General features: G+C 36.3%; 1 protein-coding gene across 5 annotated transcripts in view, besides 1 other annotated feature; it reads right to left on the reverse strand.

The window, feature by feature from the left end:
* Positions 1 to 15,874, reverse strand: part of FBXL17 (F-box and leucine rich repeat protein 17) — a 523,064-nt gene that overhangs the window by 244,293 nt on the left and 262,897 nt on the right. The window contains exon 7 of one of the 5 annotated variants that reach the window (XM_011543578.3): positions 1,798 to 2,168. The exons of the other annotated variants lie outside the window; for them this stretch is intronic. Coding sequence (XP_011541880.1) covers positions 2,165 to 2,168 — 4 coding nt within the window. The 3' untranslated portion in view covers positions 1,798 to 2,164. Of the gene's footprint in view, positions 1 to 1,797; positions 2,169 to 15,874 lie in introns of those variants that run through there. 5 annotated transcript variants of the gene reach the window in all.
* Positions 12,062 to 12,831: an enhancer, noted in NCBI's record as "OCT4-NANOG hESC enhancer chr5:107451090-107451859 (GRCh37/hg19 assembly coordinates)". NCBI's record gives its function as "activates a minimal SCP1, AML or CMV promoter by ChIP-STARR-seq in primed H9 embryonic stem cells {active_cell/tissue: H9 hESC(primed)}" and the evidence as "EXISTENCE:reporter gene assay evidence [ECO:0000049][PMID:30033119]".

Here is a 15,874-nt window from a genome sequence, read left to right on the forward strand (position 1 = left end):
ATTCTGCTTTCCAGTGGCATAAAGAACTTTAACATTCAAATAGCATTCATTAGAAAATTCACAAAGTCAGACCATTGCCTCTTTCAAAAACAATACATTTATTTGCTACTGTTAAAAATAATCTTTTGGTCAGTGGATCCTATCGCTGCTATCGTCAATGTGAACCTTTAGTATAAAATACTATTAATCTAATTTAGGAAAAAATGAAACAGTCTTTGTGAGAATCAAAAGTAAACAAATATATGTCAAACAAAAAAAAAGATTAATTTTTAGCTTTTATGTCATGTATTTTTCAGGCAATCTCATACTCCTGTAGTAAAACTTTTTATTTTTCAACTGTTTCAGGACAAAGAAGAGATATTCTCTTTCATTTACACACAAAGCTTATCTTTTTCCTTGATGGAATAGGTATTTTGGGAAGCCAGTAGGGCTTTTATTATAGTTAAAAGGATAAAAGGTCTCTTCCGTAGTTTTTGTATTGACTACATGTATTTGACTTCTCAAAAAGTCTCCCTTCATTTACCGTTTCTCTCAGTCCCCAACCAAGTCACTGTTAAACTTTTTGTTGATTTACCCTTTTTATTCCCCTCTACCCGCTATCCTTTTCCCTCATTTTACAAAGTGAATTGTGCCAGACAGTATGCCTTATGCTGGGTCTTCTCAAATTTCTGACATCAATTTTATTCTTTCTGCAACCAATTTTGTTGTTGTTGTTGTTGTTTTTTGAGATGCAGCTTCACTCTTGTTGCCCAAGCTAGAGTGCAGTGGCGCGATCTTGGCTCACTGCAACCTCCACCTCCTGGGTTCAAGCAATTCTCCTGCCTCAGCCTCCCGAGTAGCAGGGATTACAGTCATGCGCACCCACGCCTGGATAATTTTTTGTACTTTTAGTAGAAACAGGGTTTCACCATGTTGGCCAGGCTGGTCTCGAACTCCTGACCTCAGGTGATCTGCCTGCCTTGGCCTCCCAAAGTGCTGGGATTACAGGCATGAGCCACCGTGCCCAGCCCTGCAAACAAATATCAATTTTACATGCAATTGTACTTCTAAATGTTATTTTCATTAGAAAGATTACCTATAGTGAAAATAAAGAAGTCAATCCTCTAAGACTTCTCTTGAATTTATAGAACATCACACTAAGTATAGGCTCAAAATGTCCAATTTAACCAACAACACTTATTGAGTACCTCCTACAGAGCAGAGCTCTGAGCATTCCTGATGGAGAAGAACAAAAGTTTGAGAGTTAAGATATAGTCTCTGTCCTCCAAGATGTGTCTTATTTTAATTGGACGAGTAAGACTAATCCACATAAAAACATTAAATAAAAACAAATAAAAAGTGAGTCATTCAGTGAGTGCAATAGATGATCCACAGTTTTGTGACAAAGCAAGTGCACAACAACATATATGGGATATTCTCATTTTGTCAAAAATGTATTTGGATATGTATTTTAAAAGACTGGAAGGTTACACATAGAGTACTTTGGGGAGTACACAATTATGTTTTTTGTTTTGTTTTGTTTTGTTTTTTTGAGATGGAGTCTCGCTCTGTTGCCCAGGCTTGGAGTGCAGTGGTGCCATCTCGGCTCACTGCAACCCCCACCTCCCGGGTTCACGCCATTCTCCTGCCTCAGCCTCCTGAGTAGCTGGGACTACAGGTGCCCGCCACGATGCCCAGCTAATTTTTTGTATTTTTAGTAGGGACAGGGTTTCACCGTGTTAGCTAGGATGGTCTGGATCTCCTGACCTTGTGATCCGCCCGCCTCGGCCTCCCGAAGTGCTGGGATTACAGGCGTGAGCCACCACACCTGGCCGTGATTTTTTTAATGTATGAATTGCTTTTTGTATCAAAAAATAGCAGTAAATAAAAAGGATTCTAATGAATGAAGAAAGAGAAGAGAAGGCTTCTTGGAGAAGGCGCAACTGAAGTGGACCTTGGGGGCTGGACAAGAATAATGGGCCAGGCCAGTGGCACAAAGAGGGAAAAACACAATGGAAAGAAAGTTGATGGCACTTGTGAAAGATTGTAATTGTGTCAATTTGGCTTCAAAAGGTGATTCAGGCAAAACTGCGGCAGAAAAGTCTGGCTGCTGTAAACCAGTGAAGGCTTTGGCCACATGCTGTTTTGAAGATATTAGATCTTGCATATGTTCTCAAAGTTGCCTTTATCTGAAAAGAAGGTAAAGGAGAAAACACAGCTTTCTTTGGATACATACTCAAGTTATAAGAATAAATAAGAAAACTGTGGAAAAACAATTTAAATACTAGAAAAGAAAAAGAGCCATATAGTCATCTCTTAATTATTCATGTATGTCGATTATCTACTTCATTTATTATCCTAGACAAATTATAAAATTCCTCCCAAATGGAACAGACCAGAAGACAAACTTTGCTTTTGCTTTCAACTTTTCTGCTGATACAACTAACTTTAACATTAACTACCCATTACAAAGACAGAAAGGAAATTTAAAACGTGTTTAGGGTTTATATCTTATTAGGGAAAGGCCATTAAGGCAAAATTATTTAATATCTCTCCTTATTTATTTACTTAAGAAATATGCATCAAAGAGAGAGTAAAACGGAGGGAGACTGAAAAGGAACAGGAGGAAGAATCTGATCTTCTAATATATTTTACATATTGCTTTACTGGATCATCGCCGGAAAGCAAGGGTTAATCCTATTTTAAATAGGGGGAAACTGAAGCTCACAGAAGTGAAGAGAATGATTTATTCAAGGTCATTCAAGCAGTAAGTGCTAAACTGGGACTCACACCAATTCTTCTAAGTTTAGGGCTCTTTCTACCATACCAGAGGTACCATCTCCACCACAGTCTATAGCAGGGAAAAACTGAGCATGTAGAACAAGCAAGCAGGACAGGTTTCTAGTTCCTCTAAATGTGAACATTAATGAAAATAAAATTGAAAAGACAGATAATAACAAGTGTTGGCAAGAATGTGTAGAAATTAGACTCTTAAACTCTGCTAGCAGGATTATAAAATGGTGCAACCACTCTGGAAGGAAGTCTGGGAGTTCCTCAGAATATTAAATGTAAAGTTGCCATACGTCCCAGCCATTCTACTCCTAGGTATATATCCAAGAGAAATGGAAACATATGTCCACACCAAAATGTATATACAAATATTCACAATAGCAAAAAAGTAGCAACAACCAGAATGTCTATCAACTAATGAACAGATGTGGTGTATCAGTACAATGGAATATTATTTGGAAATAAAAAGAAAGTGTGAAAGTGAATACGTGCTACAACATGGAAGAACACTGAAAACATTGTATTACATGAAAAAAGCCAAACATAAAAGGGTACATATTATATTACAGTATTCCACTTATATGAAATGTCCAGAATAGGCAAATCCATAGAGACAAAAAGTAGATTGGTAGTTGCCAAGGGCTGAGGAAAAGGAATAAATCAGGAGTGATGCTATGGGTTACAGAATTTCTTTTGGGACTGATGAAAATTTACTGAAATTAGATAGTAGCAATAGTGAATACACTAAACTGTGAATATACTAAATATGAATATACTAAACCACTGTGAATACACTAAAACCATGGAATAGTACACCTTAAATGGGTGAATTTTGTGGTATGTAAATTACATCTCAATAAAGTTATTTTTTAAAGAGGTGAAAAAAATTAAAGGAAATGCTCAGAAAACAAGAAAAATGGAAAATATTATAAAAATCAATTATGTAAAATTTCCTCCTTAAAAATCTCTGAGCTTAATTTTATTTATTTTTTTGAGACAGAGTCTCACTCTGTCACCCAGGCTGGAGTGCAGTGGTGAGATCTCAGCTCACTGCAACCTCCAACTCCTGGGTTCAAGCGATTCTCCTGCCTCAGCCTCCCGAGTAGCTGGGATTACAGGCATGTGCCACCACGCCTGGCTAAGTTTTGTATTTTTAGTAGAGACAGAGTTTCTCCATGTTGGTCAGGCTGGTCTCGAACTCCCGACCTCAGGTGATCCACCCACCTTGGCTTCCCAAAGTGAAAACCTCTGAATTTTAAATACAACTACGAAAAGTATATTATTTTGGTGTTTTCTGTTAATTAGATGAAATAACGACACAAATGCTTTTTAACTGTTAAGCAAAGTGTCTACATGATCAGTCATTAATTTATAATTCACTTTCCTTTGAGGCTTGACAATTTCACTTTGTTAGATTCCTTTAAGAGAAATCTCGGCCAGGCACGGTGGCTCAAGCCTGTAATCCCAGCACTTTGGGAGGCCAAGGCGGGCAGATCACGAGGTCAGGAGATTGAGATCATCCTGGCTAACACGGTGAAACCCCATCTCTACTAAAAATACAAAAAATTAGCCAGGCATGGTGGCGGGCACCTGTAGTCCCAGCTACTCAGGAGGCTGAGGCAGGAGAATGGCATGAACCCGGGAGGCAGAGCTTGCAGTGAGCTGAGATGGCACCACTGCACTCCGGCCTGGGCAACACAGCAAGACTCTGTCTCAAAAAAAAAAAAGAAAAGAAAAAAGAAAAAGAAAAGAGAGACCTCATTCTCATTCTGTTCAAAATCTTCCAATGGCTTTCCATTGCACCTAGAATAAAATCCAGACCCCTTTGCATGACCTATTAAGGCCCAATATAATCTGCCTGTTGGCTCGCACCCCAACCTTATTTGCTACCTTTCCTTCCTTCTCTGATTTGGTCTGGCTATACTGCCCTCCGTTTTGTTTCTCAAACACACTAGTGTGTTTCTGCTTCAAGGACTTTGTACGTACTGTTTACTCATTTATCCATGTGGCTTACTCCTTGATTTTACTTAAGTTTCTCCTTCAGTGATAGCTCCTCCATGAGCTGTATTTCAAACTGCAAACATATACCCCACCTTCTACATCCATTTAATCTCTTATACTTTTCTTACCAACTATGTGATGTAAAGAATATTTCTACTTGTCCATTATCCATTTCCTGCTGGAATATAACCCCACAAAGACAGTGTAGTTTTATTTTATTCACTGCTGTAACTCCAGTGCTAACAATAGGGAAATCAACAGTATTTGTTAAAAAAGTAGATAAACAATCAGATGAACCTTAATGAAAGTGTTTAGAAAACTATAAAGTATCATGAGCTCTTTAGATATAGGAGTCAATTTGGGGCACTTAGGGGTGCATATCTAGCACGTTTAAAGGTTTGATAGATTCATGAATGAATGAAGTTGTTATGTCTAAGAATAATCATGTTAGGATAGATCTATATATTTAAATAAAGACATGGGTAACAATTACTAAAGATTTCTTAATTTTTCCTTTAGTTTTCTACTGTAAAAAAATACTTTGTTATCCTCTCCAATTTTTTCAGCACTAAGTAGAACACTCCTTACAAATCCTGGATCTGTGTCCTTACTTAAAACAAGGCAAGTTAGGAAAAGCACCCCCATTATATGTTTCCCCAGTGGGCCAAAAGACTCACACTTTGTTTTTGTTTTTTTTTTTTTTGAGACAGAGTTTCGCTCTTGTTGCCCAGGTTGGAGTGCAATGGTGTGATCTCGGCTCACTGCAACCTCCGCCTCCCGGGTTCAAGCGATTCTCCTGCCTCAGCCTCCTGAGTAGCTGGGATTACAGGCATGCACCATCACGCCCAGCTAATTTCATATTTTTTAGTACAGATGGGGTTCTCCATGTTGGTCAGGCTGGTCTCGAACTCCTGACCTCAGGTGATCCGCCCACCTCGGCCTCCCAAAGTGCTGGGATTACAGGCGTGAGCCACTGCGCCCAGCCAAGACTCACACTTTCAAAGACCTATTGGGAAAGTAAAAAGGAGAACAGTAAGGGAAATACCTGAGATTTACAAAAGGAAGGACAAAGAGTAATGGAGAGAACTGATGAGGGTCAGGACACACTTCCCCAAAATATGGTACCTTGGCATTTGAGAAAATAGCAGAAGGAGGAAGGTCACTCTCACCTTCCCCACATCCTTTTTCTGACCTTCCCCTGAAGCAGGTCATAAGACTTTCATGTGAGAGGTGCCCACTCTATATCCACAAGAAAGGAACATCCTCATGTCTGATGATACAGGGACACAGAGAAGAATCTCAACAGACAAGACTTGGTAAGTTCTTCCCAGTTTATTACCATTAGATCATAACCCTTTTGTCCAATCACACTTCTCTGTATTGACTGACTTTTTCATCAAACCTAGCATAAAAAATATACAGGTTTACCTGTTTCTTTAGGTTTTAATTTCCTTATGAAAGCCCCTATGTCACATAAAACTTATATTTAAATACATTTGTATGTTTTTTTTCTTGATTATCTGTCTTGTTATAGGGGTCTGAGCCATGAACCTAGTAAGGGATAAGAAGAGAAATTTCTTTCCCCCACAGAATGGAATACCAGTTAGTGCCCCACTCCCAGATTCCCATACTGTACTATGGGAATATTTAATTACATTATTGCATTAGCTCAATGTAAACAATGTATATCAATACAAGAGCAATACATGATTAAGATGTTCTGAGACATCTTTGATCACAATACTACATTTTATCTGAATCACTTTTCAAACATCAAATTCATTCAGTCCACAGAAGGTGGGGTCATGGGGTTGAGGGAGAGAACACTTCCATTCTATTAAAATCAGAGAAAGAATTCCTTTTCCTTATAATGAATATTTCCATTTAAAAGTCTGCCATATGACTGAGTCACATACCTTCATTCTCTTCTAGGTTACAGGTAAATAAGTGATTAAGATCATAGCCTATTGGTACCACACAGCTTCTAAATGGGAAGGGTGTGCCCGTAGCTCACACCTCCTCCTTGGCCAGCCAAGCAAAACTCTCACTGTTCTGTCAGTACTCATTCTCACTCACTTGTTTTAAAATCCAGTGGTTTACTGGGTTCAAGAACACCCAAGCAGAACCTGAGCATAATTTTGAATTAATCTCTTATAAGATCCTCTCTTCAAGTTTAATTTGAAAGAAATTCATCAGTAATATAGTCTATTTATTTATATTAACAACTGAAATAGACTAAAGTACATATTTCTAAAAATAGAATTTCTGAAATTTCTTAACTAGATATTAATGGAAATAATTGCGGTACATCACAGCTATGTCATACAAAACAAAAAACCTATGAATTAATGCATGTATTCATAAAGAAAATTGTCACTTGAATGTGGGAATCAGATTTTAATTAATGGGCTCTTTTTATCAAATTTGTAAACAGTTTACCATTTGAAAGTAGTTTCCTATTTAGAACCCTAGTTTCCACAGAGGAGAAGAAGGCACAAGATTAAATGATTTCCATTTTTCGATGCTGAGTAATGTACAATTTTTTCAAAGTATTCTTTATTTTCTTGTTTAAAAATTTGTTATTTTTTATGAGAATCATAACCTGCCAATCCTACTGCAGCTTTCTTTCTTTTTCAGTATATTAGCATGCAAAAAAAAAAGGGGCGAATTTGTGCCTCAAAGTTTTCACAGTGCCATTATTTGCTGTACCTAGTTTCTTTTTAAGGAGAAAAAGCCCTGCACATCTTTATTAGGATGGCATTTGATTTTTTGTATTAACCTTCTAAAGAGTGGTTAAACTAAAATATCATAATAATTATTAAACTAGGTACTAAGCCTCCCTTTCCTCCTCCCTAATACATTGAATAGTCCACATTCACCAGCATCAAGTCTCTTTTACTAGGACAATGGCAACAAGAAATCTTCAACAAGTGCTGGCCTGACCCCTTTCCTTTTTCTACAGTTCCAGCTGAGCAGCAAAAACTGCTTGAAATTCAGCAATCACATTTCTCACTGTTTCAGAATGACCTATTTCGCACTAGAATGAACCAGTGAATTCATACATATAAATAACTATCTGCAGACCCTGCTTTTCAAAACATGAACAGAAATAAGTAAAAAGAAGAAAAAAAAAAGAAAGAAAAGAAAAGAAAAAGAAGAAAGAGGGAGCAGCAGTTACAAATAAAGGTTTGATTGGATTGGTATTTTTCAATTGTTTGATATGATAATTGGAAACAAAACAAGACTATATAACTTAGATATCAATGTTACATTTAAAGTTTTTTGGAATTGTCAATAAATAATATTCATGATAGTTCAAACTGAAGTCAGATTATTTTTCTCTAAAACACATCATCATATTCTTATTTATTTAAGCTATCTTGGGAACTAAGAGAAAAGGCTGTAAGCATTTCTTAGCAGAATATGCTTATAAATTAGCTACACTATCATTCATTCTTAAGTATTTATTGAATGCTGTATACAAGATCTAGTTACATGCTACATCCTGCAAACACAAAGTTTCTAAGACCTTCTGATCTCTCAGGATAATCCCCAATTATAATAATCTTTTAATCTCAGTCAGTGTAAAAAACTGTCTGTACATGCTAGCTTTTTCAACTAGGCTACGGGACCACACTTGATTCATCTCTGTATTTCCAATAATTAATAAAATCCTATTACATAATTAACTCTCAATAAATGTTTACAAATGGATTGATTACTTAGTCACTGCCCTTGAGCTTACAGAAGTTCAAGCAGTGTTCAGAGAACCCAGTATATAGATCATGTTAGCACTCTGTCATAAATCTGTTGACACACATTGAACAAGGGGTAATGCTGCATAATAATATCTGAGAGAAAGGAGACAAATGAGGACAGCCATATACATAAGTAAAACGTTCAATGCCTGGAGAGAGTTTCTGGATGCGGCAAGGGAAAGGAGATCCCAAACAGGCCCAACAGTCTTGCTTGGCTTAGGAGACAGAGTTTAGGGCTCTAGGACACCAAGGTGACCAGAATATGCTGGGAAGAGTGCCAGAAAGGAGGCAGATGCACAGAAAGGGCAAGTGAGCAAGCTCTGGAGATAGGCACAGTCCAATTGAGTCTTTGGTTGAATACTGGTCTGGTCACATAAAAAAGAAAACTACTGAGGCCAGAGAAAGAACCATCATTAAGGAATAAGTGGGAAATATCTGGAGCTTAGGCCTGGGAGTACTTGATACTTCCATGAGCTTGGATAGAAATGACCTGCTAATTCACAGGGCATTGAGTCAAGGACTCAGAAGGGCAATGCCTCACTAGTGTGGCTGAATTAGCCCTTGACTAAACACTGTTCAGGATTTACCCATCAAACTGTGCCCAAGTAACTTTAATTCTTCCCAGAACAAGGCCCAGAAATATTTAAAGAATTTTTTAAAAATCAATACCAAACATCGTCATATTCACAACGTTGGTCATCTGGTCAAAATTACTAGGCATGAAAAGAAACAGGAAAACATATCCCATGAGGAGAAAAAACAATCAATATAAATAGACATATAAATGACATAGATGATAGAATTAGTGAACAAGGCATTTAATCAGGTATTAAAATATATTACTGCTCAAGAAGGAGAAGGAATGCATGAACATGATCAAGAGTGAAATGAAAGTTGTAAAAAGATCCAAATCAAACTTCTACAGATGAAATGGTATGCTAATATGCTTCAAGGTCAAAATATTATAAATTTAACAAATATTGTATTTTCATAAAACTTTACTTCCTCTGGTATCTTCTGATATTTTAACTGTAAAATAGGGGTAAAGTGGGAGTAGACATTATGTCACATCTCACTGGTCCCAAACTTTTTCTTAATTCACCATTCATATTCTTAATTAATCTTTCTAATATTCTTCATCTATTCTACCTCCATTTACAGACAGAAAGTCATACTCCTAAAATTGCCTAGCATACAGTGATCAAGTTGACTGCAATCTAGAGTTTGCTAATAACTCACCCAGTCTTTCTCATACTTCTTACTTACACCCAGACCACTTTTATCCAGACTTGGCAGTATTGCAGGGAAGGTATGGGCAGGGCATCAGAGACATGCATTCCCATCTGAGCTCTGCCTCTGTCTGAAGACCACATGGGCATGTGGCTAACCTGACTAGATCTCAGTCTCTTTATTTTCTAAGTTAAAAGACGGGATGTAATCTGCAACTTTAAAACACACTTTAACTACTGAGCCTTTAAATCTAATATGCAAGAGAGATAGATGCTATGCTAAGCTTGCATTATGTGTATATATTTAAAAAAACAATTTTTCCAACATATGCACATGTGTATATATGCTATACACATATATATATATAAATAAATTTTTCTTCCAGTGTATCGAGAATGGAAGGAAATATGAATGGGGGTAATAAATGTGAGCAAATCCAGTAAAGTAAATGAAAATTATGGGCAAGTGGACAGAAAAAAAGTAATTCTGAGATGTTCTCCGATGGAGGACAGCTACTGAAGGACTCTCAGAGGCACCATTAAAAAGTAGTAAATCTCTCTGAGAAATGTCCCCATTGAACTAAACACTCCTCACATTAAAAATGTCCAATTTTAGGTATACCTAAATTGGTAAAATACCTAAATTTAGGTATTTTAAAATTCTCTTTTCTTGTTAATCTGGAAAGTCTATCCCCAGAATCATTCTATACCATATATCCGTCTAATCTGACATAATCCCTAAACACTACACTTGAAATAGTCATGCCAGGAATGAAGCTGTGTGTAACTATTCTTCAGAAAATTGGCTTTTCAAAAGAAAATGTGCATCAGAATTAAGGCATAATTAATTAAGAAATATCCATTTCAGTTTCTTCTATTTTTAGAACTTTTACACATAGAACAAATGTATAATTATTAATTTTGAGTCATTTAAACAGAATAATCCTTTGTATGTCTCTTTCAGTTATACAAAAAGACTTGTGGCAGTCAACTATTTGCATTACACAGCAGTGCTGTATATGAAGGTCATGAAGCTAATCTTCATTATCATTCTGTAATAAATAAACAAGAAAGTACCCCTCCCGAAGAGTTTATACTCCATTGTACGAACATAACATGTACATATTTTACATAATCCAGTTCCCAGAACTTTACAATTGTTTATTTATTGTGCATAGTAACCATTTGCTTACTCTTAAAGTACTTCTGATTTGTATCTTAGTGAGTTTATTCCATTCAATTCCCTATAAGTTGTCTCTTGTTTCCAAATTATTATAAATTCAGTATGACATCAAGCATAAATCATCATTTATATTGAGTGTTATTGTTAATGAAAGACAATTAGGTATACATCAATAAATGTCTGATTCAAACAAATTAGGCAAGAAAATAATTTTATAGCCAATAATGAGAAATAAAGTTGTTGTGTGTTCAGTAGCCCCACATTCTTTGTTTGTGATGGTGTAGGATACTAAGTGACTTTTATATTCTTATTTGTGGACATTTGTTTTTCAAACTATGTATATCAGAAAGACATTCAAATGGGCAAAATTTACCCTGATACTGAGTGGAGCACACAAATGCTTGGCACATTGAAAATGCTTCAAGCTTGGTTGGCTTTTCAATGCCTGTAAAGAGAATTAGAGATAGGCCACTGAATGCCAATCACACTACTGCATCTATTCACCACATTTAAATTCTTAGGGTGAACATATTTATCATTGGCTTGTGATACTACATCATTTTTTAATATTGCTCTCAAGCTGCTGGATAGAATTTCATGTCCTAAGTCCAGAGAAACAAGGTAAATGACAAACATGTTGCAGATTTCTTATCTGGAATATTAACAGAGTGTCTCTAATCCTATACAGAAATGTAGTCCAAAAAATGTAGTGATTTCAAAATGGTGTGCACTCTTTTAAGTGTATATAAGATCATAATCCCCAAGCAATTTTTTAAATGACTGCATCAATGACAATTGGGCAAATTCAAGACGTATTTAAAGAAAACCTGAGGAATGATTATTAGGAAATATAGGAAGGTGTCTATTGTCCAAGTGCAATAAACTGCTAGAACAGTAAGTACTCAAGTAAGGCAAACAAAAGTATTCACCTCTTCCTAGTACCCAGAGGAAAATCAGAATGTTCAAACTAGGAGGAAAAAAAGAGAAACAGGAGAAGCATGGGCTTTATTCACTGTTTTTTTAAGCCTAAGTCAGTTTTTAAAATATGAGAATTGAGTATGTAGGTAGGTTGAAGCTGATACAAAAAAAAATTATAGTATTTAAAATTTTTTTTAAAAAAGCTCACGCTATCATATATATAAACTTAGTCCTTAAATTCTAGAACGGACCTTATTTTTTACACTAACTGTTTCTATGTAAATCTCATTGGCTCAATTCATTACAAAATTGGTGAGGTAGGCACTGAGGCAAATTGAAAAGGACAGGACACTAGATAGAAGTGGTCGTCAACACTCAGTTCAAGCTGCTGGGGGAAAGGAGAAATGCAGACACAGTATTTTCACATCTTTCCATCTTTAAGAAAAAAAAAAAGAAGAGTAAAATCTCCCAGTTTTTAAATATTTACAACTAATTAAAGGTTGAAAAAGTTATTTCTCTGAGTAGTTCTACAAAATGACCCACATATACACACCATGTCAGTAAAGAGCAACTGAGCAAGATGAAAAGCAGTAAGAATTAGAGCTATCAGAGATCAAAGAGAAGGCCCCAAGATATCTTCTCATCTGGCCCCCTGCCTGCAGACAGGTAAGATATTCATCTACTTTAAAAGCTGAGGCAGTCAAGGCTCAAAGAGATTAAAATGAGCTTGTCCAAAATCACACTGAAAGTAAATAACATAACAGGCTGACCACCTTCCATGACTGTTTTTGTTTGTTTTTAAGCTAAATAACCATTGGCTTGGAAATTTTACTGAATAAGTCATGGCCTGAGAAAAGATGAAAAGATCTAACAAAAATTTTGAAATAAAGGTGACAGTGAACAAAATCCCCATAGAAAGAATGTAGTAAACAAAAAAGAAAACAGAAACAAGAAAAACACTAAAGTTAAGAAAGCATATAATAAGGAGCATAGTAAGGGTTTCTCTGCCTTATATACGTAAAATTACTAAAGAATAGTGGTCTAGGAGAAAGAACAACAAAATATAAAGCAGATGGAGAATCAAGTTAGGTAGTTACGAGGTTAATATGCAATCCATGGGAGGGTAGTGAATATCATTAATTCAAATCGGGCAATTAAAAATAATAAAATAGGGTCATGTGCAGTGGCTCACACCTGTAATCCCAGCACTTTGGGAGGCCAAGGAGGGTGGATCATGAGGTCAAGAGATCGAGACTGTCCTGGCCAACATGGTGAAACCCTGTCTCTACTAAAAATACAAAAAAAAAAAAAAATTAGCTGGGCGTGGTGGCATGTGCCTGTAGTCCCAGCTACTCAGAAGACTGAGGCAGGAGAATCGCTTGAACCCGGGAGGCAGAGGTTGCAGTGAGCCAAGATCACACCACTGCACTCCGGCCTGGCGACAGAACAAGACTCCGTCTCAAAAATAATAATAATAATAAAAAAATAATAATAAAACAAGTTAATAAGATAAAGAATGGGATGATAGATGAATAATACCGTTTTCAAAAGAAATTATGTGCACATAATTTCTTATCACTCAAAAAAACAGCTCAGATAGATCCATCCTGGGATTAACACCCAGGTATTTAATTCCCAATCTGGCCAGCAGCCTTGTATCCTCAGCTTTGGCAGGACTGAGAGGGTAATTCTCTGCCCTATAGGTAGGTGACTCTACAATCAGAAAAGGGGAGAGAATACATTAAAAAAAAATTGGTGAAAATAATTTTCATAATTTTGTTAGGGCTGTGGATATTTCATTTGTTATTTCAAGTGTATGAAATGTTTAAGAGAATCTGACACATTGGGAAATCGACTTAAGGCTTGTAGTTTTTATTTAAAATATTTAGAGCGATTCACTAGTAGTAATCTTGACATTTTAATTTTAAATACTTAAGGACAGTTTGATTGACTAAGTTTATATACAGTGTTTAAAAACTGATTGACTAATGCATACATTTGGCTTTCATGTGAAAGTGGTGTTTAAGTGCTCAGGAAGACTTGCATTAGATTTGTAAGGCTGCCTTCCCAGAGATTGAGAGTGCTTGGGAAAATTAAGCATATTGGGGGTTACAATTTGAAAAGTCTAAAGGAATGCAATTAATCAAGTTTGAAAATGATGTGAAATGTTTAATAGAATTTAGTCTCTCAAACGTATAAGCTAACTGATTGCTAATTAAGGAACAAATGAAAAAGAGTGTTTTAAATATAACCCCAAATTACTAGATTATGAATAAAATAAGATTTATAAATTGAGCTTAAAGGCTTATGAAAACTTGGCTTTATAATTTAAAATTTTTAAAAATGTTAATTACAACACAGTAACTATGAGTATGCCTTTCACGTACAAAAGACCCTCAAAGATTAAAATCCCAAATGACTATGAAGATGACATTAATTTCTCTAATCAAAAGATGAGTATTTTTCAAAAAACGTTGAGGTATTAATAGGTAGTCCATGAGGAAAAGGGGTCTGTGGTTTGGGGGGCAAAAAAAGCACAAGAAGGAGCTACTAACTACACCCCCTCTCGGAAATCCCTGGCCTATATTATAAAGGTTTTGAGAAGGCCTGCAATTAAGAAATGTTTCATATTTCAGTTTTTGACACAGGAGTTCACGGATGCTTATTAACATCTTGCAGAACTGCCAGAGATGCTCTAGAAAGCACAGTTTGGGAAGCCCTACATTAGATAGCTGAGAAAAAACTCCTTCAAGTATTCTTCTTTGTCAGCATACTAGAAACCGTAAGGAATGAAAAAGCAGGAGATGGAGGGAGGTTGAAGTTTCCATTATTTGGCATTACCACATAATACCTGGCAGGTGGGCTAACTTAATGATATGGTATAGTTCTACCTCAGGATTTTTTCATGTATTCCCAGGGTCCAAAGCCACTGTTTGTGCTTTCCTAAGTATAACACTTGAGCCTGTTCTCTTCTTAAAACTCCATGCATGTGTAAGATTTTCACTATAACCTATATCCTGGATGACTCCAAAATCCTTATCTCCAGTCCTGACTTCCATCTTCAGATTCAAACCCAACTGAGTAAGGGACATCCCTGCCTGGTGGACCTACAATAACTTCAAATTCAACATGTTCAAAACTGAGTCCATTCTTTTCCATCCAAAAGTTGTTTGTGCTGCAACTTTCCACAGTTCTGTTACAGTATCCCATCTACCCAGGTGCTCAAGCTAAAAACTTGAGAAAATTCTAGAGTCCCTCATCTCCCTCAGCCTCCACATGGGTAAGATCTTTTGCAACACATCCTTGATCGCACTTAAGTTCATCCTTTCCTTTCCATTTTGGTTTTCACTACTGACATTTAGGATGTCATAATTTGTTTCCCTGGACCTTTGCAATCTTCTCTGGTAGACTGTCCTTCTTATGATCTTCCTCTGTAGTCCATTGTATGCAGGTGTTTTTAATTTTGTTTTTTAGTGTAAGTCAATGTTTCCCCATCATCTATATATAATATTCTAAATTCTTGGCATAATATCCATAGTCCTTCATGCTCCAACTCCTACTTACCTCTCTAGACCCCTCTCTCACTATCACCTCCAGGCTTATGCTATGTTCTGGACACATCCAACTTCTCGCACTTCCAAGTACACACAGTGATCCTTCAGATCTATTTTACACATGTGATTTTCCTTAGAACACCCTTACTATATTCTCTTCTCCCAAAAAACTCCTAACTCATCCATGAAGATTCAAATGAGACGCCACCTCCTCTGGGAAGCCTCTCCTATCCTTTACATATTTCCTTTTTTTTCTGGCTTAGTTCACCACATTTTATTCATATATGCAAAAGGCACTCATTTCAAATTGCTGCAATTATTTGCTTTACATAGCTGCCATACCCACTAAGACTGGAACAACATGGAGGCAAAAGAGGATGCCAGTATCTTATTAAAAATATAAATAAATTCAAGAGAATGTGACATTCCAATAGCCTCTTATTACTCTTGTTAAGTGCTCAG

This window comes from Homo sapiens, chromosome 5, assembly GCF_000001405.40.
Source record: "Homo sapiens chromosome 5, GRCh38.p14 Primary Assembly".
In the NCBI taxonomy this organism is placed as follows: domain Eukaryota; kingdom Metazoa; phylum Chordata; class Mammalia; order Primates; family Hominidae; genus Homo; species Homo sapiens.